General features: G+C 36.5%; 1 protein-coding gene and 1 long non-coding RNA gene across 24 annotated transcripts in view; one reads left to right on the top strand and one right to left on the bottom strand.

The window, feature by feature from the left end:
* Positions 1-1,322, bottom strand: part of RXFP1 (relaxin family peptide receptor 1) — a 131,659-nt gene extending 130,337 nt beyond the window's left edge. For 13 of the 23 annotated variants that reach the window (NR_045579.2, NR_045580.2, NR_045582.2 and 10 more), the window contains exon 1: positions 1,011-1,154. Coding sequence is in view for 13 of the 23 variants with exons in the window: in NM_001253727.2 (NP_001240656.1) it covers positions 1,011-1,059 (49 nt within the window). In the remaining 10 variants the exon portion in view is untranslated. Of the gene's footprint in view, positions 1-1,010 lie in introns of all 23 variants that reach the window. The other 10 variants (NM_001363776.1, XM_011532179.3, XM_011532174.2 and 7 more) reach the window with 1 other exon arrangement.
* The window catches only part of RXFP1-AS1 (RXFP1 antisense RNA 1), a 75,659-nt gene that overhangs the window by 41,634 nt on the left and 7,671 nt on the right, over positions 1-26,354 (top strand). The gene's annotated exons all lie outside the window — the stretch shown is intronic.

Here is a 26,354-nt window from a genome sequence, read left to right as displayed (position 1 = left end):
AACTTTAGATGCGATGGAGCAGAGGGAAGGAGGAAAGAAGGAGGAAAAGGAAGATATAATCACTTTGACATATTACAATTGGGAGAGTCAGGATTGAAAGTTACCCTGAGACATTCCTTAATAGAAGAGCTCAGAGTTAACAAAACTTATGCAAACTTTTAAGAGACACAGGACTATAAAAAGGCTTGTTAATTTCTAAATTAGTAAAAGCCCACATTCCCGGAATCATAAAGTATTAAAGATACCCAGAAAGTTTTGTTCTTGGTTTGGCTTTGACTTTTTCATCATTTATTACCTAAGAAACAAAAACACTTTATTTCTGTCTACATACTATAATTCAAATGGAGCTTAACACACAACAACTGTTTCCCTTGAATTTAAAAAAGATTTTCTGAAAAATAAACCATAGCACACACAGAGAAAACAAAATTTGTCATTATAGTAAAAATAACATGCCCATTTGGAGCTTCTTTTGTGCCTATGTTTTTCATTGCTTTGTGCTTTCCCTTGTTTTTCTTTCAAGGAACAGTGATAAACCTTGCTAAATAAAAAGAGTTTTATGAATGCATCTCCCTGCCCAGAAGCACACCTATGATAGCAAATGACAAAGAATAAGGGCGACAGAGCATTACAACTATACAGAAACTGGCACAAATGTGAGAACTTTCCTAGGAGTTTTCAATGAATATATTCCTTGAATACAGTTTAAGAATTACTACTCTTTAAATATTATAATGTTGCTTAAAATATCAATTATATGAATTGGTTATTATGAAGCCTAGGTTTACACGGCACATCAGTCTCGCTTCACTATTGACTATGATAAGATATTATGGTCTTTAATACAAATACCAGACATATACTAAGAAGAACAATTCTGAAGTGAGATTACAATTTTATCAGCAAGTGCATTTTATCTTAAAAGCATAAATATAAGGAGTAAACATTTGTGCTTGTGGTTATTCCACAAAATACTAAGGTATACAAAATTAGATACTGAGCATACTTACAATATTTTCCAAAAATTAAGATGTAGAAGAAGACAGAACCAGATGTCATTTCCTTCTATCTGAGCAACTGATTAATGAAAGTGAGCAAAATTTGGTCTTGGTTTCTGAATCGCATACAGCTCACAGTGGTTGTGTGCTATTTCTGTCTGCAATCTTAGCAGTTACAAAGCAGTCCTCCCTCCTTCCACTCCCATTTCCTTTCTCTGTCTCTTTCCATTCCTCTTTTTTTCTTTCCTCCTTTCTATTCTCAGGATCTCTCCTCCCCGCCCTCCTTCTCTAAATGTCCTAATCTCCTTCTTTACACACACGCACGCGTGCGCGTGCACACACACACACAAAGCTGAAAAGCAATAAAAAGTTTCAGAGAACACATAACGCTATCTACAAACGAGGGCGTATACGAAGTCTGAGAAATGTCTGAACTGATCAAAGACACACTACCAGAAAGAAATTGAGCTAGAGATATCTCATAAGCAAAAACATATTTTTTCCCCTAATGACACAGGAATAGGAAAAGAATGGAATTACACAGGGCAAAATGCCTTTGTGGAATTAACTGTGGGACAGCGATTAAAGTCTAACTACAGCAATCGTTTATAAACTGTTTGAGTTTGGGAATTCGAACAATAGGATATTGTTGAAAGAAGAATACAAAGGAATAAAACAACTTAAAATCCTTTTGAACTTGTGAATTTTGCTACAATGGAGACCATGACATGTCAGTGGATGTCCTGGAGCAAAGCTGGCCTGGGTTTGAATTGTAGGTCCCCTGTGACTTTAGAGTTATGCAGGTGCTGACTCTTGGCTGAGCCTTGCTTTTCTGGAGCAAAATATGTATGCAGCAAGGTAGCTGTGATGGCCAGCACAGGGCATAGTGAGGGGTGTAGGTCCTACTGCATTATAGGTGATTACTAAGTGTCAGTCATTCATATGATGATTTTTATTATTGGACCAGTGGGGGGAAAAGTATGAAAATGCAATGAACATTTCTGTAGACTGCATTTTCTTTTAACCAGACTGGGTCATTCTTATTTTTCAACTTGCTAATGAATTTCTGGAACAAGTGAGTAGTAGCCCTTTGACATGAGGAATTTATTTTTGAGGTTAATGCTCCCTACTCGTAGATATACACGTAGAATCTGCTTGAATTACATATCTGTATATCATTGACTTCAATATAATAAGCCTATTTCTAAATGAGGGCTAAAAGGTTATACTAACACTGCTTCCTCCCTCCATAAATATAATTAATTCCATGAAAGAAGAATTTTAATATAGAAATCTTCACAAACCCTTATTCATTTAGTAGTAGATTTAGTGAAGACACTGTTCTTTTGATGGACATGCTTATGGTTAACTGAATTTAGTCCCATAAAATGTTCACTATTTTTAATAATACTTGAAGTATTTTAAGATTATTATGTGAGTGGTTCATGGATTTTTTTAAATTTATTTAGAAATAGTAGTTTTTTGGAAGGATGCTGTGGAACGTGTCAAGGGCAGTTTCAGAAGGGGGACCCATAAGAAGCTTCTTAATAGTAAAATTGAAGGACTTGCTTTGGGAATTGTCAACAAAAAGTAAGCTGTTGATACAGAGGTCTTCAAAATCATTCTGATGTTATTTTGCAAACTTTGAAACTTTTGCCTGAGCGAATATCACAGATACATACAATTAGTGGGCGGGTAGCCAGGAAGTACTCGTTAACAATGTATTTTTAATCTCTCAAATTATCAGGGCAAAATTTCCAAATCACCTCTCATTTTATTAAGAATCTATTAGGTTTTACTAAAATAGATATTCATCTGAATGAATAATTTTCATGGTTTGTTTTCTCAGGGTGTCACTTCTGTCTTATTTTTGGCAAAGACAGTGAATCTGGCATATTAGTTTTATAGAAGTATTTTGGTGGCAAAACCCAAAAGTGAATATAGCACACCCTGGCCATACATTGAGGCAGGTACTGTTTCTACTATGGGCTGGAGAATTCCTTATTGTGAGAGGCTGTCCTTTACATTGTAGAACGTTTAGTGGCCTCCCTGGCCTCCACCCATTGGATGCCTGTAGCACTCTCCAGTTGCGACAATTAAAGGTGTCTCCAGCCGTTGGCAAATGTTCCTGAAGGACAAAATCGCTCCTGGTTGAGAACCACTGCATTGTAGCAAAAGACTCCCCTCAGTAATGTTTAGGTATTATTATTATTATTATTATTATTTTTACCAGATTACTGAAATAGAATTCTTATTAAGATTTGAATTAAAGTGTGTTTTCTCATTCTCTTGTTTTGCAGTTTGAAGACACATATTAAAGAGTTTTAAAAACAAACAGATGGTGTATGTTCTTAGCCTTCACTTCCTGCCTACATTGTTCAATTATAAACTTGCACTCTGGGCCCAATAGAATCTGTGATGTCAACGCCTCCACTTGGCTGAGCATGTCAGGGGTTTCTGCCCTCGACATAGGCTAATAGAGGCTGATACCCTTTCTTATCTTTGAATCTCTTCTTAAAACCTCGTTGAGGCTCTTTGAATAACAAAACCTTCTATTTGAAAATTACTTCTCGAACCAACCTAGTGAGTCAAACCAAACAAGCATTGTTAACCTGTTTGCACTATACACATCCACAGTAATCTTGCAGCTTTTTCATCCTACCATGACGGAAATAAACCACGACTTTCTTTTTTTCAGCATCATGTTTTAAAACTGGGTAATGACACTTGAGGGCTTCTGTCCACGTTTCTGAACCTATTCATAATCACCATTTTCAACAGTAGAAAAAGCCATTTTATTATGTGTTTTTTTTTATTGTAGACCTGAGAAAGTCCCAGTGCGAGAGGCTGGTAAAACCTCAATAAGAGCTTCATCATGTAGAGATATTCAGATAATAGTAAAACAACCATACGTTAAAAATATTAAGTGCAATCTAAGGGCTAAAATGCATGCTGCCAAATTGTTCATTCTATGCATCCATTTCTAGTTGACAGCTGTCAGTCAGGCAAGACCCTTGAGGAATTCATCACCTCTGTGTAACACCAAAAATACTAGCTGCTTGATTTAGCATTAATTAAACAATTCTGAAATGAAATGACTTTTAGGGAGTGATAGCTAGCAAAATGTGCAACTGGAGCAGACAGTTAGTAGGCACAGGTATTTCAGAAAATATTTTATATAAAATCTAAACAATTTCACCCTAGATGAAAACTGACCAGAAGCTATTGTCATTTTAGCAGAAAATCAACCATTACATTGTAAGCCAAGTGCCATGTGGATTTTTGTGTTGCCCCTTATCTATCCATCTCTCTATCATCTTACACGGTAAGTGCAAACTCTGGGCAGAGCTTAATATTAACTTTATCTTACTTAGTTCCCTTAATTGAACATATTCAAGCTTTAGGTTCATTCTATCTAGACTATCTATCAAGACTGATGGGATAAAATAAGTGATATAGTCTGTTGACTGGGTTAGTGGGTGGGATCTGGAAATTAACCTTGCTGTTTCATGTCTGGTAACATGTCTGCTCCCTAAGCAGCCATCTTCCCTCACAACCTTAAGGCGCATGCTCAGTCACTGTGGTTAAGCCTCAGCTGCTTCAGATTTCTTGACTGCACTTCAGCCACTCTGCTATGATTGGAGCCTTGTCTCTAAGCCCACTCACTTGCCTATCATCTAGCCTGCTTTTCACCCCATGGGATCACCCCATTGGAGATCTGGTGCTCTTTGCCCTATCCTGATAATCTCAATGTTCTCTCCTTTGGGCACTATCTCCTGCTGATGCTTCTTCGTGCTTCATTTGAGACTACCTGATTTATACGGGGGCATTTCCTACATGCTGGAAGACAGAATAAATTAGAAAAGTAAAAGTGGCTTGTTCCAGGAATACCAGTAGAACATTGGGAGTTCTGGTCCCACTTTTGCTCCTAATTAGACATGTAAACTCTGATAAGTCACTTAAAAGCTTTAGTCTTGTTACCTCACTAGTAAAACAAACAGTCAATCTTTTAGCTGCATTATAGCCCTGTCATTTTATGAAATATGATACTCTGCTTTAAGATAATTTATGAATTATGGAAACGGAATGCACATAGCTGATTGTCTGAAATATATATTTTTTCTACATCTATCAATAAATATAAATTGATGCCATGAACATAATGTATTAAAGGAGATATGAGAGATCATCAAGGAGCCTGGTTTGGAGGGCAGGGTAGGGTCAAGTATGGAAGGTTTTTTAGAGAAGGAGAGCTGTGTACTGAGTGTGGAAGACAAAGAAAGACATAGACTGAGAGAGAATAATGGAAACAACATTTCATATCAAAGACAAGTGAGTGCAAATGCTCAGCATGTGCACATAGCAGGTCTGGATGGGTTTATGGCCAGAAAATAACATAATTGGTATTGGAGAGCTATGGAATAATTACTTGTTGGAAAGTGTCAAACATTAGGTTATTTTTTATTTTAAAATTTAAATTTAAATTCATAATCAACATATGGTAATTGTACATACTTATGTTATGTCTCAATGCTTGTATACATTTTATAATGTTCAAATCAGGGTAATTACCTTCTATCACTTTAAACATTTATCATTGCTTTGTCGTGATAACATTCAAAATCTTCTAGTCTCTTCAACTATATCTTCGACTGTACACTGCATTGTTATTTGCTATAGTCACCCTACTGTGTAACAGAAACACCAGAAGTTATTCTCCCTGTCTAAATGTAACTTTGTACTTGTCAACCAACCTCTTCCCAGCCTCTGGTAACCACTATTCTACTCTCTACTTCTGTGAAACAAGCTTCTTTAGATTCCACATATAATATTATGCAGTGTTTGTCTTTCTGTATCTGCCTGAGTTCACATGACATGTTCTCCAGCTTTATCCATTTTGCTGTAAACGACAGGATTTCATTCGTTTTATGGTTGAATAGTATTCCATTGTATCTATCTGTCTATCTATCTATCTATCTATCTATCTATCTATCTATCATCTATCTATCTAGTTTTCTTCAATCATCTGTAGATGGGTTTTTAGATTGAGTCTATACCTTGGCTATTGTGGATGGTGCTGCAATAAACATGGAAGAGCAGATATCTCTTTGACATACTGATTTCTTTTCCTTTGTGTATATCTCCAGTAATGGGATTGCTGGATCCTATGTTAGTTGCATTTTTAATTTCTTGAGGAACCTTCATTCTCTTTTCCACAGTGACTATATAACAATTCCTCATTTAATGCCATTGACAGGTTCTTGGAAACTGTGACTTTAAGTGAAATTGCAAACTGTAAGCCATAGGAAGTTAACTCCTGTTTATATATCAATTAGCCTATGATAAAATTGGTTCTGTTATACAGTATGTCCTTTAACGTAAAGTCACAGTTTCCAATAACTTATTGATGCTATTAAGTGAGGACTTGCTGTACTAATGTACATTCTCACCACCGGTGCCTAAGACTTCCCTGTTCTTCAATTTCTGGGCAAAGGAGTGATATGATCAAAAGGAGACTAACTAAGAAAACTAGTTTCATGACCATATGATACAAAAGATGAGAAAGAGCAGAGACTCTAGGTAAATGAGGCTGTGAGTAACAGAAGTAAGTCAGCTATTACGATTTGTGTGACTGAGAAGGCATGCAAACACAATACATTACCAGAAAGAACATAATCTTAATAGTGGTTAATCATGAACACACTGACATTAGAACAGGGAGGTCCAATAGAAATACAATGTGAGCTACAGATGCAATTTAAAGTTTTCTAGAAGCCATACTTAAAAAGTAAAAAGAAACAGATGAATCAGTTTTAATAATAAATTTTATTTAACTCAGGATATTAAAAATATTACCACTTCAACATGTGATCAATATAAAAATTATTAATGAGATATTTTATTTCTTTTTTTAAACCTTTATTTTAGAATGAAGAGGTATATGTGCAGGCTTGTTACAAAGGTATATTGTGTGATGCTGATGTTTAGCGTGTGAATGAATCCATTGGGAATGTAAATTAGTTCAGCCACTGGAGAGCAATTTGGAGATTTCTCAAATAACTAACAGTTTATTATTTATCTTTAAAATTCAGTATGTATTTTACTATGCAGCACAATTTGGAGCAGCTATATTTCAAGAGCTCAGTAGCTACATGTGGCTGGTTGTTACCCCGATGGATGGTGCAGCTCTAGAGGATGGGGCAAGAGGTTTCAAGATTCCATCATGTTACACTTTATCATATTAAACATAACCATAGCGTGTCCTACATATAAAGATTTATAGAGCTTCAGTAGTTTTTAAACCTGATGGTCGTGTAAAAATAATAGTTTCCATAATTAAGTCAAATTTTAATAAAAACAATGGGGACAACATAAGGTTACCAAACTTAATTTTGTCAAATAAAAACAGTAATAGCAACAATAAAGGCCCTACCATTTATCTTTTACCATCATTTGATAAATGTAAAGACATTTTAATATCACAAAATTAGGAAAGCTATAATGTTCAAACACAGTCCTCTACATAGAATATATTTAGTTTCACTAAAAATGACTAAATTGTCCTTATTTTTCTCATTTCATTGCAGATGAGTAAAAAGTCCCATAGACGCTGTCTGTGGACCATGATTTGGGAACCACTGATCTAGTCCAGGCTCAGGGTCTCTCTGATAGCACAAGTCCTTTAAAATCGTGGTAGGACACAGTAGCTTCAAACAGAATGCATTCTGTTAGCTGTTAACCAATGTTTTGGGTCATGGTCAACGAATCTAGGTACTGCCTTTGTATGTCTCCCTGTTAGCATCTGTTGGAGGCCCTAAGCCTTAGTTTAAAGGCTGCTATCTTGGCTTCTGCTTCAAGACAAGGGGAATAATAGATGGTTTCATGTGCAGAGCTAATCTGCCACATTCCAGGGATTGACACTTGAGGAACAGGGGCTTGTTACCTCTATAATTCCAAGGTTGCCCTGTGGGGCATATTGGATAAAGACTGGGAAGTCAGGATTTCCTCATTTCTTTGGCTCCTTCCAGGTAGCACTAACTTTTGATTTGGGTATAGATTTGGGTGTAGATTTGCAATGCTATGAGAAATATTTTCTTACCTATGGTGAACTTTGCAGAAGAGGCCTCGATTAACAAAGCTGTTTTCTTCCTTTTGCTTTTAGAAGGCTTATCAGTCAGTATAGGTTAGATGATCTGTGGAAAAAATACAACAACCACAGAACCTTAGTTGCTTAAGTCAACAGAAATTTATTTCTCATTTTACATGACCATGATGGTTATCACAAGTCAGTGGAGGGCTCTGATCACCATAGTCTCTCAGGCACCAGGCTGATGGAAATTCTATATTGACACACACATCCATGACTATCAAGGCAGGACACAGGAAACATGGTGAATTCTATCTGGAAGGGACCCACAGCATGTCTGTTTAAATTTCATTGGCCTAACTTCAAAGTGATAGGGAAAGGACAATCCATCCCTGAGCCTGGAAGGAGGAGAGCTAAAAGTATTTTGATGAACATTACTAAGGATAACTTCAGTCTGCCTTTCTGATCTCTAGGCATAATACACTAACCTCTTTTTCAAGAGAGACATTCTAGAAGTTACACCTAGTCACGGTGTCAAGCTCACACTTCGGGATTTCTGGGTGATGCATAGTAGGTGGCTCCTACATGACATCTAGATGTGGATTCTCTTGATTTAATATCTGTGAACTAAAAAGATAAGCTATCTGCCCTGATCTATGTTCCACAGCACAATTTGGAGCAGCTATAAGAGTTACAAATAACTGTAATAACATTCTGATTAGAAAGGAGAAGGCTAGCAAATCCTGCTGGGTAGAACAAGGTAAGGCTCCTTAACCTGAGGATAGGAAATATTCCTTAATTAGGCCCAGAGACTGTTCCCTAGCAGGGGCTGCCCAATTCATCTTTTATTATGGCCCTTTGTCTACACTCTGGAAGATCCTTCCTTTGCATTGATTTGAACTGGCTTCATCTAAAGTGAATATTGCAGAATATGCCTCTTTTGGGTAACAGGATGGGTAAGTACTGAGAAAAATAAAGATTGGCAGAGGAAAAGACAAATGGCAAGCGAATGGGTCATTAACTATTGTACGTTGAATGAGAATATTGTTAGGCTTTATGAACTGGTATATGTGAAGCTTGTGAAGAACATGAAATGTAACTGCTATTATCACAATAGTCATAAATGCACATATTAAAAAATAATTATGTAATTAAGTTTATAATTTTGCTTTGTGAAGACAGATCAATTTTGTCATCTTACTTTCCTCCTGGTGAGATAACACTCTTCAGGCTGTGCTACTGAAATAAAAAGGTGTCAGAATAAGAAATCCTAGTTGTGAAAACAAAAATGTGTCTCCTTTTTCTCATTTAATCTTCCTTTAGAATTACTGGAGTTCAAATTGGAGTTCCTGGAATTTCTAAATGATTTCCCCGGTTAACTGACTATTGGTCATGTTTACATGTCATGCAATAGTTACAGGGAATTTCTCGGTGATTGTATTTTCCAGAGACTAACTAAACACAATACATAGTTGGGTCTAGTTGTAAGAACCAAGTGGAGATAGGTTTTGGTAGTTCCTCATTCCTATCATGTTTACTGCTTCCTGTTCACCTTGTGAAATAGGAAGCTGGGTTTTCTCCACAACTTGCCCATCTATAAATATATTCAATAGTCACATATTTGTTAGGGTCAAATATCTTACCAGATCTGCTTTAAGGGTACATAAGAAAACATTTTCTGGGTGAAATATTGTAAGATGTGTGTAAGTGTTGGAACCAAAGGGAGTTGGTGAGGAGGACATAGCAGCTTCAGTCATGGTACAAAGGGCTGAACCATAGAATAAAGACAAGCAGAATCAGGGCAGTAAAAATCAGAAACACCAAGAATCAACAGGGACTTAACAAAAGCTTAGAAGACTATTGGACATTATTGAGCAATAAAGGGAAAAGAAGGGCAGGTGGGAGGAGGATGGGTCTCTAGAAGTGGCTGCTAAATGGGCTGATTTCATGTGCCAGACCACTGTGTTTGAGACTATTTTAACCAGCTGATGGGATACTTTAGACATTGTCTGGTATTGTACTGGGTATTATGCTGGTACTGTTCTGGATGCCCAGTTATTGTCCTAGAAGAAAGGAGCCTTGGATGATGGTGATGCATTAAAAGATTAGAAAGAGCAGAGTTGGAAAGATGATGAATCTAGGTGCACTTTGTCAAATTAGTCAATTGATGGCAAACTCTATTTACTTGCATCTCCATCATGACCATTATTGGATTCGCCATTTTTTCCTTCTGTCCAGTAAACAGTAGCTATTCTTTACCTCCAGCAATTTTCTCATGTTTGTTCATTGTGCCCAAATGCTTCCCAAGTCTCCACACCACAGTAGTAATTTACATCCTTCTGAAAGGCTGGGAGAATTAGTACTCCTAGCATCATTAAAATGAGTTTCTGATCAGGGTTGTTATTAAAACTATGCTTCAACATTAAATAAACAATAAGAAAAAAACCCCTAAAGTCCTAAAAAGTAATCTTGTTACAACAGAATTGTCTTTATCTGTACTAGTCAGTATGCAGCAGAGGAGCTAGTTTTCAGAGAGTTGAACAGCGAGTGGTGGTAAACAAGCACGTGTTGTTCTTTTAAAAAAGTGCTTCAATGAACATAAAAATACACAGAGCTTAAAATCAGTTACAAATAGCTTCTTAGCACACATGTTTAATAATTTGTAGTTTCAAATCTTTGATGAATGAAAAGTATTTCCTTTGGACATTAATTTATACCATAACATTTAGGAAACTAATGTACAGTACTGTTTTTATTGCAATCATCATCTTAATTATTCTCTCATATAGTATGTGTATAGTTTTCCAAGGTAAATGTATTTTTCATTAGATGCTATTTATTAGATTATCGCATAAATGGTGATATAATAAATGGTGCCAATTGGAAATTTTTTAGAATGTGCTCTTATTCTAATAAGAGGTATGCATAAGTGATAGTAAACCATACCCATATACTCATGGATGAATTTAGAAAAAATTAACTTTCTATGCAGTTTGAGTTTGCCTTGGAATTTTTGGAAAATCTATAAACATATGTGAAGTAAATTTTAATTCAGTTGCTTTTTAAAGGTAAAACAGTGTCTTTAATCACATGTTATTCTAAAAAAGAAAACCACATATGTTCTTTGGAAAATTGTCTACAAGCTAAAATAAAAAATAGTTGTGCTTAAACTTTCCAATATGAAGGCAAAAACAGATTCAGTGTAATGATGTTAGACAAATTTTTGACATTTAAAAAATGAATATAATACTATTGTTTACTAAAATTCCTCCAAGAAACATTATGAGGTTCTGATAAGATAAATTTTAGAGCTAGAAGTATGAATGTCTTAATTTTTTCTAATAGTGATTTAAAAGTTGTTTTTGTAAAAATTTTGGTTTTTTTGATTGGACCACTCAGATAGTCTAGACCAGTGGTTCTCATGGTGTGGTCCTGGGAACTGATCAGAAATACAGATTCTCAGGCTGCAACTCCAGGGGCTGAAGCAAAACCCTAGAGTGGGCCCAGGGACACATGGTTTAACAAGCCCTCTAGATGATTCTCATACACGTTCAAGTTTGGGAACCACTGCTCTAGAAGGAGTTGAGATCTTTCTTATCTCATTTATGAGATGAAAAAATAATAAAGAATGTTTGTCTTCAGGCATAGATCTCGCTACTTCTTTAAGTGGCTAAATCCAAGTTGCTAAAGAATAACCATCAGTACTGATCATCAGACAAAAACAATGAGAGTTCCTCCTACAGTGGCCTTTGAAGTTGCACTTTGGAGGACAAACCACAATAGTAATGCAAGGGGGCTTTAGGGGAAAAATGTATTTATTTGATTTCCAGAAAAATGTATTTTGAAAGTCGTTAAAAATTATCGCTGGGTCACGTGCCAGATGCTAAAAAGAAATCAGCATGGTCTAGAAGAAGATGAATCAGTGACCCAAAATTAAGACTGTTTTATCTTTTTAACTGTTTATTGTGGGAAAACATATCCTAGGAATTGGTGAAGTAATTTTAAGAATAAATGTTGTCTTAAACCAGTAACACAGGGAGCAATGGAGGAAAATATGTATGTGTAGAAGAAGAAAATATGTGTTTTTGCATTGTCTATTTTGAGTGGGAACAAGCAGGTCTATTTTAAATAGAATAGTTGAGGACCAGTGATTTTAGAAAGTGGCGCTGGGAAGTCCTAAAGCCAAGCTCCATTGTTGGGACCAAACCTGGGCCTATTACATCTTTAACTCCAAATCAACACTTATTATTAGATTACATTCTCATTTTAATGTGTGAAGCAAATATAATTGTGAAAGTCTCTTGAACAGGACTTTATAGTTATAGGAGCAATGAATTTTGCAGAATGCCATATTGTGTCCTGGTAAAATAGTTAACTGAACTAGTTTATATAAACTACTTTAATCCGGAAATACACATAGTTCTTAAAGAAGCTCTAAGTTAATGTATACCTTCTACTTAACTATTGACAGTTATTTCAATTGTTTCAATAGACTGTGGTTACCAGCTGAACAGATTTTCTTTGTTTAGAAGCAAATTATAGAAGCACTAGTTAAGAATATCTAGTGTATAAGGAGGATCGTCTTTTCTGAGCTCTGAACTTTAAGTTAAATATTTCCCTATGTTATTTAAAAAAGGATTCAGAATTTTGCAGTTAAAAGAAATTGTGTGACACGGAATTTAAGTTGAAATTGTTTACTTTGAAAAGGTAAGAACAAATAAACTGAGGTAGTTTTTTTTTTTTTAACCTTAGGTAAGAAGTGGTTATGAGACAAATGCAAGAAATGTTATATTCCTTGATTTTTCCAAATTAAATTAAATCTGGTTCTCTGTCCATCCACATTCACTTGGCTTTATTCTTCCTTTCATTGTATGGTCCTGGATGTTCATGGTAGTTAACAGAGCTACCACTGCTACTGATTTTTGCTACATGATTGTTAGCGTCAGCATGCGGAGCTCCAGCAATTTCTGGATTGGCCTAGGCATTTTTTTTTTTTAAGAGAAGTTTCTAAAACACAATGAAGTAATTTTTCTCCCTCCCCTAATCAAGTTGAGGTGGAGAACAGAAAGGCTTAGTTACTCTTTAGGACAAGGTGGAGGTGGGGAGAAGCCGAGGAGAGCATTTCACTCTGCCTTTTTTTTAATGTGCAGACATTAAACTGGTTTCGGTGCTGACTGGCTGGAAGGAGAAATCTAAGCAGTAATGAGGCAGTGTTCTGAATATCCTTCCTCACTTATCCTAGTGGTTCTCAGGGGCAGTGATGGGTGTGCTCGTTAGCAGGCTCATTCCACCAATGCAAGAACCAGGCAAGATCAGAGGAGGACACAGATGAGTGGTCTCGCCCACCTGCAAGTGTGGGCTTGAATGGTGTTGCTATGGGACTCTGCGGCACTACGCTTGGCTATGCTCTGACTCTCTCTGCCTAATACTTCATGCCAAGGTACTGGTATGGTTTTTTTAAAAAAATACTCAATTCCAATAATCTGAATTGGCAAATATCTATGGTATAGCATGAAATTTCAGTTTGAGATACAAATTAAAATCTTCTATATCCATTGCCTTGAAAATATTCCACGTATCTTTTTAGGGTTAAAATAAACTGCTGATCAGGAGAATTAACTGCCTTTTTAAATATGAAGAGCAAATATATATTTTTAAATCACTTTATTGAGGTGTGATTGACACGTAAAAAGCTGTACATACTTAGTGTATACAACTCCATGAGTTTGAGGATAAATATATACCCATGAAACCATCACCACCATCATGTCCAAAGGCATATCCAACACCTCCTAAAGTTTTCTCCTATCCCCTTGTTATTGTTATAATAATTATTAATTATTATTATTATTATTCTTGCGGTAATAACACTTAAGAACCTCTTAGAAAATTTTAAGTATACAGTACAGTATTGTTAGCTATAGTTGCCATGCTGCACATTAAATCTCCAGAACTTATCTTGCATAACCGAAACGTTGTAATCTTTGGCCATCACCTCTCCATTTCCCCCACCTTTAACCCCTGGCAACTACCATTCTACTCTCTGCCTCTATGAGTTTGCTTATTTTAGATTCAACATATAAGTAAAGTTTTACAGTATTTGTCTTTCTGTGTTTGGTTTATTTCACTTAGCATAATGTCCTCTAGTTCTATCCACGTGATAGCAAATGGCAGGATTTTTTTTCTTTTTTCCTTTTTTTTTTTTAAGGCAGAGTCTTGCTCTGTTGCCTAGGCTGGAGTGCTGTGGCATGATCTTGGCTCACTGGCTCACTGCAACCTCTGCCTCCTGGGTTCAAGTGATTCTTGTGCCTCAGCCTTCCAAATAGCTGGGATTATAGGAGTTCATCACCATGCTCAGCTAATTTTTTTTTTTTTTTGTATTTTTAGTACAGATGGGGTTTTGCCATGTTGGCCAGGCTGGTCTCGAACTCCTGACCTCAAGTGATCTGTCCACCTCGCCTCCCAAATAAGACTTTCTTCTTTTTTAAGGCTGAATAATATTCCATTACATGTATAGTCCATATTTTCTCTATTCATTCATTTGCCAATAGACATTTAGGTTGTTTTCATATCTTGGCTATTTGTGAATGATACTGCAATGAATATGGGAGTTCAGGTATCTCTTCTACATACTGATTTCATTTCTTTTGTATAAATATCCAGAAGTGGGATTGCTGGATCATATGGTAGTTCTATTTAAAAAGTTTTAGGGAACCTCCATACTGTTTTTTTTGTAATGGCTGTGCCAATTTACATTTCCACCAACAGTGTGTCAGCGTTCCCTTTTCTTCACATACTCTTCAACATGGATCTTTCCTTTTTTTTTTTTTTTAATGATAGCCATCTTAACAAGCGTGATGTGGTATCTCATTGTGGCCTTGATTTGCATTTACCTGATGATTAGTGATGTTGAATACTTTTTAATATCCCTGTTGACCATTTGTGTGTATCCTTTTGAGAAATGTCTATTCAAGTTCTTTACCCTCTTTTTATATTTAGTTATTGTTTTCTTGATATTGAGTTGTTTGAGTTTCTTATATGTTTTGGATATTATCTCCCATTCAGATATACCGTTTATAAATATTTTCTCCCATTCTGTAAGTTGCCTTTTCATTTCATTCATTATTTCCTTTTTTTAATTATTATTATACTTTAAGTTTTAGGGTACATGTGCACAATGTGCAGGTTAGTTACATATGTATACATGTGCCATGCTGGTGTGCTGCACCCACTAACTCGTCATCTAGCATTAGGTATATCTCCCAGTGCTATGCCTCCCCCCTCCCCCCACCCCACAACAGTCCCCAGAGTGTGATGTTCCCCTTCCTGTGTCCATGTCATTATATCCTTTATGTGAAAAGGGTTTTTAGTTTGATGTAGTCTTATTTGTTTATTTTTGCTTTTGTTGGTGCTTTTAGTGTCATACCCCAAATTATCATTGCCAAGACCAATATCAAAGCACTTTCCCCTATGTTTTCTTGTAGAAGTTTTACAGTTTTATGTCTTATGATTAAGTCTCTAACCCATTTTGTATATGGTCTAATATACGTCCAATTTCATTTCTTTTGCAGGTGAATGTTTAGTTTCCTCAACACCAATTATTGAAGAGACTATCCTTTCTTTGTTTTGTAGTCTTGATGCCCTTGTCAAAAGTTAGTTGACTATATATGCTTGGGTTTTTCTCTGAGCTCTCTATTCTGTTTCACTGATATATGTATCTGTTTTTATGCCAGTACCATACTATTTTGATTACTATAACTTTGTAATATAATTTGAAATCAGAAAATGTGATGCCTCCAACTCTGTTCCTCTTGTTCAAGGTTGCTTTTGCTATTCAGGGCCTTTGGTGGTTCCATAAGAATTTTAGGATTGTTCTATTTCTATGAAAAATGCCACTAGAATTTTGATAGGGATTGCACTGAATTTGTAGATTGCTTTCAGCAGTATGAACATTTTAACAATACTGATTTTTCTAATCCTCTAATCAATGAACACAGAATATCTATTTATTTGCATCTTCTTCAACTTCTTTCTTTCTTTTTTCTTTTTTTTTTTTTGAGACAGAGTCTCACTCTTTCGCCCAGGCTGGAGTGCAGTGGCACTATCTCGGTTCACTGCAACCTTGCAACCTCTGCCTCCCAGGTTCAAGCAATTCTCCTGCCTCAGCCTCCTGAGTAGTTGGGATTACAGGCGTGTGTCACCATGCCCAGCTAATTTTTTTGTATTTTTAGTAGAGATGGGAGTCTCACCATGTTGGCCAGCCTGGTCTTGAACTCCTGATCTCAGGTTATCTGCCCGCCTCAGCCTACCAAAGTGCTGGGATTACAGACGTGAGCCACTGCACCTGGCCTTCAATTTCTTTCATCAATGTTTTGTACTTTTCAGTGTGCACTTCTTTTTTTACCTCCTTGGCTGAATTTATTTCTAAGTATTTTATTTTTTGATGCTACTGTAAATCGGATTGATTTCATCATTTCTCTTTTGGATAGTTTGTTGTTTGTTTATATACATGTTCTGACTTGTATATTGGTTTCATATTTTACAACTTTAAATTTATTATTTCGAACTGCTTTTTAGTGGAGTCTTTAGACTTTCCTATATATAAGATCATGCCATCTGCAAACAAAGACAATTTTACCTCTTTCTTTCTAATTTGGATGCCTTTCATTTCTTTTTCTTGCCTAATTGTTCTGTCTAGGACTTACAGTACTACGTTGAATAGAAGTGGCAAGAGTTGGTATTTTTGTCTTGTTTCTGATCTTAGAGGAAAAGCTTTCTGTTGCTCACTGTTGAGTATGATGTTAGCTGAGGGCTTATCATATATGGTCATTATTATATTGAGTTGCATTCCTTCTATCACTAATTTTTTTACAAGATTTGAAAATCATGAAATAATGTTGAATTTTATCAAATGCTTTTTCTGTATCTAGTGAGATGATTATATGATTTTTATCCTTCATTCTGTGAATGTGGTGTATTATATTTACCAGCTTGCATATATTGAACCATCCTTGTATCCCTGAGATAAAGCCTATTTGATCATGGTGTATGAACCTTTTAATGTGCTTTTGTATTTGGTTTGCTAGTATTTTTAATTTTTAATATTTATGGGTAAATAGTGGGTGTATATTGTTATGGGTCACATGAGATATTTTGATACAAGCATATAATGTGTAATAGTCACATCAAGGTAAGTCAGGTATGCATCACCTCAAGCAATTACCCTTTCTTTGTGTTACAAACAATCCAGTTATACTTTTAGTTATTTTAAAATGTACAATGTTATTGTTGACTATGGTCACCCTGTTGTGCTATCAAATACTATATCTTATTCCTTCTTTTTTTTTTTTTTTTTTTTGAGACGGAGTCTCGCTCTGTCGCCCAGGCTGGAGTGCAGTGGCGCGATCTCGGCTCACTGCAAGCTCCGCCTCCCGGGTTCACGCCATTCTCCTGCCTCAGCCTCCCGAGTAGCTGGGACTACAGGCGCCCGCTACCACGCCCGGCTAATTTTTTGTATTTTTAGTAGAGACGGGGTTTCACCGTGTTAGCCAGGATGGTCTCGATCTCCTGACCTCGTGATCCGCCCGCCTCGGCCTCCCAAAGTGCTGGGATTACAGGCGTGAGTCAAATACTATATCTTATTCCTTCTAATAATATTTTTGTATGCATTAACCATCCTCTCTTCCTCCTGTCCTCCTCCAATCTTCCCAGCCTCTGGTAACCATCATTCCACTCTCTATCTCTATGAGTTCAGTTGTTTGAAATTTTTTAGTTCCCACAAATAAGTGAGAACATTCAAAGTTTCACTCTGTGCCTGGCTTATTTCACTTAACATAGTGATCTCCAGTTCTATCCATGTTGTTGCAAATGATAGGATCTCATTCTTTTTTATGACTGAATAGTACTCCATTTTACATATGTATATTTTCTTTATCCATTTGTCTGATGATGGGCACTCAGGTTGTTTCCAAATCTTGGCTATTATAAATAATGCTGCAATAAACATGGGAGTGCAGATATCTCTTTGATATACTTCTTTCTTTCTTTTGGGTATATATACAGTAGTGGGATTGTTGGATCATGTGATAGCTCTATTTTTAGTTTGTTTTGAGTAATCCCCATGCATTCTCCATAGTGGCTGCACTAATTTAGCTTCCTACTAACAGTGGAAGAGAGTTCCCTTTTCTCCACATCCTCACCAGCATTCATTATTGCCTTTTGGGTAAAAGCCATTTTAACCAAGGTGATATGATATCTCATTGTAGTTTTGATTTACCTTTCTTTGATGATCAGTGGTGTTGTGCACCTTTTCATATATGTGTTTGCTACTGGTATGTCTTCTTTTGAGAAATGTCTGTTCAGATCTTTTGCCCATTTTTAAATTGGATTATAAGATATTTTTTCCTAGAGAGTTATTTTAGCTCCTTATATATTTTGGTAATTAATCCCTTGTCAGGTAGGTAGTTTGCAAATACTTTCTCCCATTCTGTGGGCTGTCCCTTCATTTCCTTGATTATTTTCTTCACTGTACAGACACTTTTTAAGTTGATGTGATTACATTTGTCCATTTTTGCTAGAGTTGTCAGTATTTTGTTGAGGATTTTTGCATCTATGTTTATCAGGGATATTCTTTCATATTTTTTTTTCTTGTAGTGTCTTTGTCTGGCTTTGCTATCAGGGTAATGTTGGCCTCATAGTGACTTTGGAAGTGCTCTTTCTTCTTCAATTTTTTGGGAAGAGTTTGATAAGGATTGGTTTAATTTTCCTTAAATATTTGGCAGAATTCACCAGTGAAGCCATCAGGTCCTTGGCTTTTCTTTGTTGGGAAGTTTTTAATCACTGACTTAAAGTCCTTACTTAGTATGGTCTGTTCAGATTTTCTGTTTCTTCATGAGTCAGTCTTTGTAGGTGCTATGGTTTCAATATTTGTCTCTTTCAAAACTCATGTTGAAACTTTATCCCCAGTGTGGCAATATTAAGAGGCTGGGCCTTAAAAAAGTGATTGGATGATGAGGACTCTGTCTTTGTGAATGGATTAATCTACTAATGGATTAATGGATTAATGGGTTATCATGGGAGTGGGACTGGTGGCTTTATAAGAAGAAGAGAGATTGGACCTAGCATGCTCAGCACCCTGGTCATGTGATGCGCTGTACTGCTTCAGAATTCTGCAGAGTCCCCACCATGGAGACTTTCATCAGATGCACCCCCTTGATCCTGGACTTCTCAGCCTCCATAATGGTAGAAAATAAATTCCTATTCTTTCTAAATTACCCAGTTTCAGATATTCTATTATAAACAACAGAAAACAAACTAAGATAGTCAGCTGTATGTTTCTAGGAATTTCTTCATTTCTTTTAGGTTATCCAACTTGTTGGAATATAATTTTCATAGTAGTCTCTTATGATCCTTTGTATTTCTGTGATATCAGTTGTTATATCTCCCTTATCTATAATTTTATTTATGTGAGTCTTTTCTCTGTTTTTATTACTCTCAGTTTTGTTGATATTTTCTTTTGTTCTTCTAGTATCTATTTCATTTATTTCTGTTCTAATCTTTATCTTCTTCCTTCTGCTAACTTTGGGCTTAGGTGTAAAGTTAGGTTGTTCATTAGAGATCTTTCTTTTTTTCTGAATGTAGGTGTTTATTACTATAAACTTCCCTCTTAGATTTGCTTTAGCTGCATTCCATAAGTTTTGATATCTGTATATTTCCATTTTCCTCAAGATATTTATGTCCATTTTGATTTCTTCTTTGATCCATTGGTTGTTTAAGAGTGCATTGTTTAATTTCCACATATTTGTGAATTTCCTAATTTTCCTCCTGGTATTGATTTCTAGTTTCATACTGTTGTGGTCATAAAAGGTACTTGATATTATTTGTCTTATTAAATTTGTTAAGACTTGTTTTGTGGCCTAACGTATGATCTATCTTGGAGGATGCTCTGTGGGTGTCTGAAAAGAATGTGTATTCTACTGCTACTGGATGGAATGTTCTGAATATGTCTGTTAGGTCCATTTGGTCTATAGTTTGTTCATGAAAGTGAGGTACTAAAGTCCCCTACCATTATTGCATTGCTGTCTATATCTCCTTTCAGTTACATTAATATTTGCTTTATATATTTAGGTGCTCTGATATTTGGTGCATAAATATTTGTAATTGTTATATCCTCTTGATAAGAGGATACTTTTATAATTATATAATGACCCTCTTGTCTCTTGCGACAGTTTTTGATGTAGAGCCTATTTTGTCTGATGTATAGCCATCCATTCTCTCTTCTGATTACAATTTGCATAGAATGTCTTTTTCCAGCCCTTCACTTTTAGCCCGTGTGTGTCCCTAAAGTCAAGAAGTGAGTTTCTTGAAAGGCAGCATATAGATGGATCTGAAATAAAATATTTTAAAATCTCTTTTGGCCCTAGAGAATCCATTAGCACATAGCCTCACCAATCTATTAGCGCACAGCTTTTGCAGTGCTCCAGAGGCACAGAATTCTAGCAGATGCACATGCATGGGAGTTCAGGGAGACCTACTGGTAGTATAAACTAAGCATGTCAAGGATTCCCTCTCTTACCACTCCTATTCAATGTGGTATTGGAAGTTCTAGCCAGGGCAATCAGGCAAGAGAAAGAAATAAAGGGTATTCAGATAGGAAGAGAGGAAGTCAAATTGTCTCTGTTTGCAGATGACATGATTGTATATTTAGAAAACCCCATCATCTCAGCCCAAAATCTCCTTAAGCTGATAAACAACTTCAGCAAAGTCTCAGGATACAAAATCAATGTGAGAAAATCACAAGCATTCCTATACACCAATAATAGACAAACAGAGAGCCAAATCATGAGTGAACTCCCTCTCACAATTGCTACAAAGAGAATAAAATACCTAGGAGTACAACTTACAAGGAATGTGAAGAACCTCTTCAAGGAGAACTACAAACCACTGCCCAAGGGAATAAGAGAGGACACAAACAAATGGAAGAACATTCCATGCTCATGGATAGGAAGAATCAATATTGTGAAAATGGCCATACTGCCCAAGTAATTTATAGATTCAATGCTATCCCCTTCAAGCTACCATGGACTTTCTTCACAGAATTAGAAAAAACTACTTTAAATTTCACATGCAACCAAAAAAGAGCCCACATAGCCAAGACAATCCTAAGCAAAAAGAACAAAGCTGGAGGCATCACACTACTTGACTTCAAACTATATTACAACGCTACAGTAACCAAAACAGCATGGTACTGGTGCCAAAACAGATATATAGACCAATGGAACAGAGCAGAGGCCTCAGAAATAACACCACACATCTACAACCATCTGATCTTTGACAAACCTGACAAAAACAAGCAATGGGCAAAGGATTCCCTATTTAATAAATGGTGCTGGGAAAACTGGCTAGCCATACGCAGAAAATAGAAACTGGATCCCTTCCTTACACTTTATACAAAAATTAACTCAAGATGGATTAAAGACTTAAAAGTAAGACCTAAAACCATAAAAACCATGGAAGAAAACCTAGGCAATACCATTCTGGACATAGGCATGGGCAAAGACTTCATGACTAAAACACCAAAAGCAATGGCAACAAAAGCCAAAATACACAAATGGGATCTAATCAACCTAAAGAGCTTCTGCATAGCAAAAGAAACTATCATTACAGTGAACAGGCAACCTACAGAATGGGAGAACATTTTTGCAGTCTATCCATCTGACAAAGGTCTAATATTCAGAATCTACAAAGAACTTAAACAAATTTACAAGAAAAAAACAAACAACCCCATCAAAAAGTGGGAGAGAAAGATATGAACAAACATTTCTCAAAAGAAGACATTTATGCAACCAACAAACATATGAAAAAAAGCTCATCATCACTGGTCATTAGAAAAATGCAAATCAAAACCACAATGAGATACCATCTCATTAGAATGGCAATCATTAAAAAGTCAGGAAACAACAGATGCTGGAGAGGATGTGGAGAAATAGGAACACTTTTACACTGTTGCTGGGAGTGTAAATTAGTTCAACCAGTGTGGAAGACGGTGTGGCGATTCCTCAAGGATCTAGAACCAGAAATATCATTTGACCCAGCAATCCCATCACTGGGCATATACCCAAAGGGTTATAAATCATTCTACTATAAAGACACATGCACACATATATTTGTTGCAGCACTATTTACAATAGTAAAGACTTGGAACCAACCGAAATGCCCATCAAGGATAGACTGGATAAAGAAAATGTGGCACATATACACCATGGAATACTATGCAGCCATAAAAAAGGATGAATTCATGTCCTTTGCAGGGACATGGATGGAGCTGGAAGCCATCATTCTCAGCAAACTCAAGACAGAAAACCAAACACCGCATGTTCTCACTCTTAAGTCAGAGTTGAACAATGAGAACACGTGGACACAGGGAGGGGAACATCACACACTGGGGCCTGTCGGGGGGTGGGGGACTAGGGGAGGGATAGCAGGAGAGATACCTAAGGTAGATGATGGGTCGATGGGTGCAGCAAACCACCATGGCACATGTATACCTATGTAACAACCCTGCACATTATGCACATGTACCCCAGAACTTAAAATATAATAAAACAAAACAAACAAAAAACTAAGCAAGTTGAGTGTCAAACTAAGTGCAGTGCAAACAGGCTGAGAGGCTCGCTTTCTATTTGAACACGAATTGCTTTGAAAGTGGGCAGTGTCCTTCTAAACCAATGACATACATAGGTACCCTAGCATATCCCTTGTTACTCCTTTCTCCTTTTTATACTAGCTAAACATTTACACTGAAAATGATGACAAAGAGGGAAAGTGAAAAGTAGGATTATTCATAGTTTCTTGTTTTTTCAAACCTTCCTTATTTATCTGTAGAGAATATTGGTACGATGTGATGTATTAAGAAGTGAAATAAGAACAGTTGAGTTAGTTTTGCATAGTGTTTCCATTGTTTTGCTAAGAACAAAATGTGTATTGACGTGTGAGCTATGAAATACAAATCAAGTAATTGTGGTCATTTTGTATAAGTTAAATATTCCTATATTTGCATTTAAAATTTGCACTGTACAATACATAGATGAACAGCAAAATTCATTTTAATAATTTAAAATTTTAATTTTTCTTTACCTAGAACAACATTATAGTGCAAATAAAAAACACTGTGACAAGTTGAACAATGAGAACACGCGGACACAGGGACGGGAACATCACACACTGGGTCCTGTCGGGCGGTGGGGAACACTGTGAGGGAGAGCATTAGAACAAATACCTAATGCATGTGGGGCTTAAAAACCTAGAAGACGGGTTGATGAGTGCAGCAAACCACCATGGCACATGTATACCTATGTAACAAACCTGCAAGTTCTGCACATGTATCCCAGAACATAAAGTAAAATAAAATAAAATAAAAAAGAAAAAAAAATTACCTCCAGTTTCTAATTCAATAAAAAAACCCCACTGTGACAGAGAGAGAGAGAAAAAGAGAGAGAGAAGAAATGAAAAAGCTTTATATTTTCATACCTTTAAAAAATGCTTTCCCCTGCTTTTTGAAAAAGGAGTCCCAAATTTTCATTTTGCGCTTGACCCTGTAAATTATGTAGCTTGCCCTGCACCTGTACCAACATTAAGCTGTGCGCAGATGTCAATTTTCCTTTCTCCTTTCTTGGCTCTTACGAGTCAGTACAGGAATGAGGATACGACAGCCACTTTGAAAATCTTGCTCTCCCCAGCAGAATTCACTGAAGACAAATCTTTGAAAAATGCATCAGTTCACAAGCTATTTGATTTCAGAGACCATCTTCTACCTGAACTGTTTAATACACAGATGCTTTTCCTATTGTGAAATTGATGTACTTGTTATATCTGCATCTCAGAAAGTAGAATTTAATATTTTAAAATGTAAATCAAGTGTTGTTATGAATCTCTGAAAGTAAAAGTATAAAATACTTTGCTTAAGGTTGAGGTATCATCTTGTCTGATAGTTTATTTATAGAAAGTATTAAACATGGCCTAAATATAAAAAGTAAGGAAACAAGTCTATTTTCAATAATGTAATATCCTATAACTCTGAGAAATAATGTATTTTATTGGAGATGAGTGTGTAGCATTATGTTAAAATGTTTGAAATAACTTTTGTTGTTTTTATTCAAATTGGCTAGGAAAGAAGAGTTCATTTTCCTCAGTAAAAGTTTATTGCCTAACTGCCTTAGGACATTATGTTTTACAGCATTTGGCTTATAATAAAGACCTTTGAATTGTCCAGTGTGGTAGGCTTTTAGCAATTATTGACAACTGCTGCATTTGCTCCTGTCTAGCATTATAGATTATAGAATAAAATGAAATGCTTATATTACATAAATAATAACTTTTAGTCAGAAAACTCACTAATAAGTATAAATGTCAGTGACTAACGCTTTTAGTTACTTTACTGTTCAGTTACCTATGTTTTTGCCTCCTCCTTTTTTTCTGCATTCTTCGATAGCACTCTGCCTTTATTGTTATTGGTCGTACCGGGAAACAAATGGTAATATATTTGCTCACTTGTTCATTTAGTTATTAAATCAAAAATGTCTTTGAACTACTTGAATGTAATGTATTTTTGGAACAAGGAAAGGTAAAAATGGAATTTAAAAATTGCAGATTGTCTCCAATAGCAGTCAATCAGTTAATCATCTGACAATTACTTTATGTTCGTTATGTTGCAAGCACTGGGATTCAGGGTTCCTGCTCACAGCGAACTTTCTCGTTCATGTGGGAAATACACCCGTATGGGTGGTTGAGCTAAGTGATTAGAGAAGGCCCTTCTGAGGGTTAATATTTGATCTCTACCCTGAGTGACAGAATGGGGCATTCTCCTATTTGAAAACTTGCCTTCTCTTGGATCCAGTCTTGCGTCTTTCTGCTTCTGCTCTCTGACTGCCAGCTCTTTCTCAGGCTCCCTTTTGGCAACTAATTGTCTTTATGTGTATGAACATTTATATATTTTATATTTTATGTGTATGGACATATTCTTTTTTTTTTTTTTGAGACGGAGTGTCACTCTGTCACCTAGGCTGGAGTGCAGTGGTGCGATCTCGGCTCACTGCGACCTCTGCCTCCCGGGTTCAAGCGATTCTCCTGCCTCAGCCTCCTGAGTAGCTAGGATTACAGGTGTATGCCACCACGCCCGGCTAATTTTTGTATTTTTAGTAGAGAAGGGGTTTCACCATGTTGGTCAGGCTGTTCTTGAACTCCTGACCTCGTTATCCGCCCGACTCGGCCTCCCAAAGTGCTGTGATTACAGGCGTGAGCCACCGCTCCCGGCCGTATGGATGGACATATTCTTCAGAGAATGTTTCCTGGATATTTTCGTTTCTCAATCTAGATCTCTGGTTCAAAACCTTTTTGGGTAATGAATTTTTGAGAACATGGAGAAAGATACAGGCCTTCTCTCCTGAGGAAAAGAACATGCTCACAAAAATCTCATGAAATTTCGGGGATTAAAGGATGCTTCTGAAGATCACTCATGGTACCCACAGGAGTTTGTGGATCCCAAGTTGAGCACCTCTCTTTTACTTGCTCTTTTTGGTCATTTTCAACCATACCTGTGACATTGGCCATCCCGAGAACTCCAAAATCTGTGTTTCAACCCAGCTTTAGTTGTGTATACCTGACTGCATTCTAGACATTTCCACTGCAATTCCTAAAGGCACTTTGATTCAGTGTATCCAAAAGGAATACACATATTCCCCCAATCATCACCATTCCTTCCTTTTCTTTCCATCTTCTGCCTCCTCCGACATGCCCAGTCTTGGTGAACAGCAGCACCCATAACTGAGCTGCACAGTTCAGAGTCCTGGAGGTCAACCGGCACTTCTCCCTCTCTCCGTCCTTTTGGAATCCAACGTCCTTTCTATTCCAAGAAGCTGCCACATCTTTCCCTCATTAGCAATGCCCTGCAATCCCACTCTCATTGCCTTTATTCGTGCCTTTTAGTTTCTTTTTTGGATATTCTCAGAGAGTTAAAGTGGGACAGAAATCTTGAAGAATATGGTAAATGCTTAGAAAGACTATTCAGAACAATGGGTGAGTTTGCTGATTTGGAATTGCTGACTAGCACTGTGGGTCCAGTCAGTTCTCATTAAGAGGAAATCCCTCCTTTTTGTAGCAAATCCCTCATGAAATAGCAAGGATTAAAAAGTCATTACTGCATAATAGTTTTTTCCTCCTAATTCAAAGACAGTAAGTTTCTCACTGCCTTTTCATTGACCAATTAAACAGGT

This window comes from Homo sapiens, chromosome 4 (genome assembly GCF_000001405.40).
Source record: "Homo sapiens chromosome 4, GRCh38.p14 Primary Assembly".
NCBI lineage: Eukaryota > Metazoa > Chordata > Mammalia > Primates > Hominidae > Homo > Homo sapiens.
This window is presented reverse-complemented; position numbering and strand designations above follow the sequence as displayed.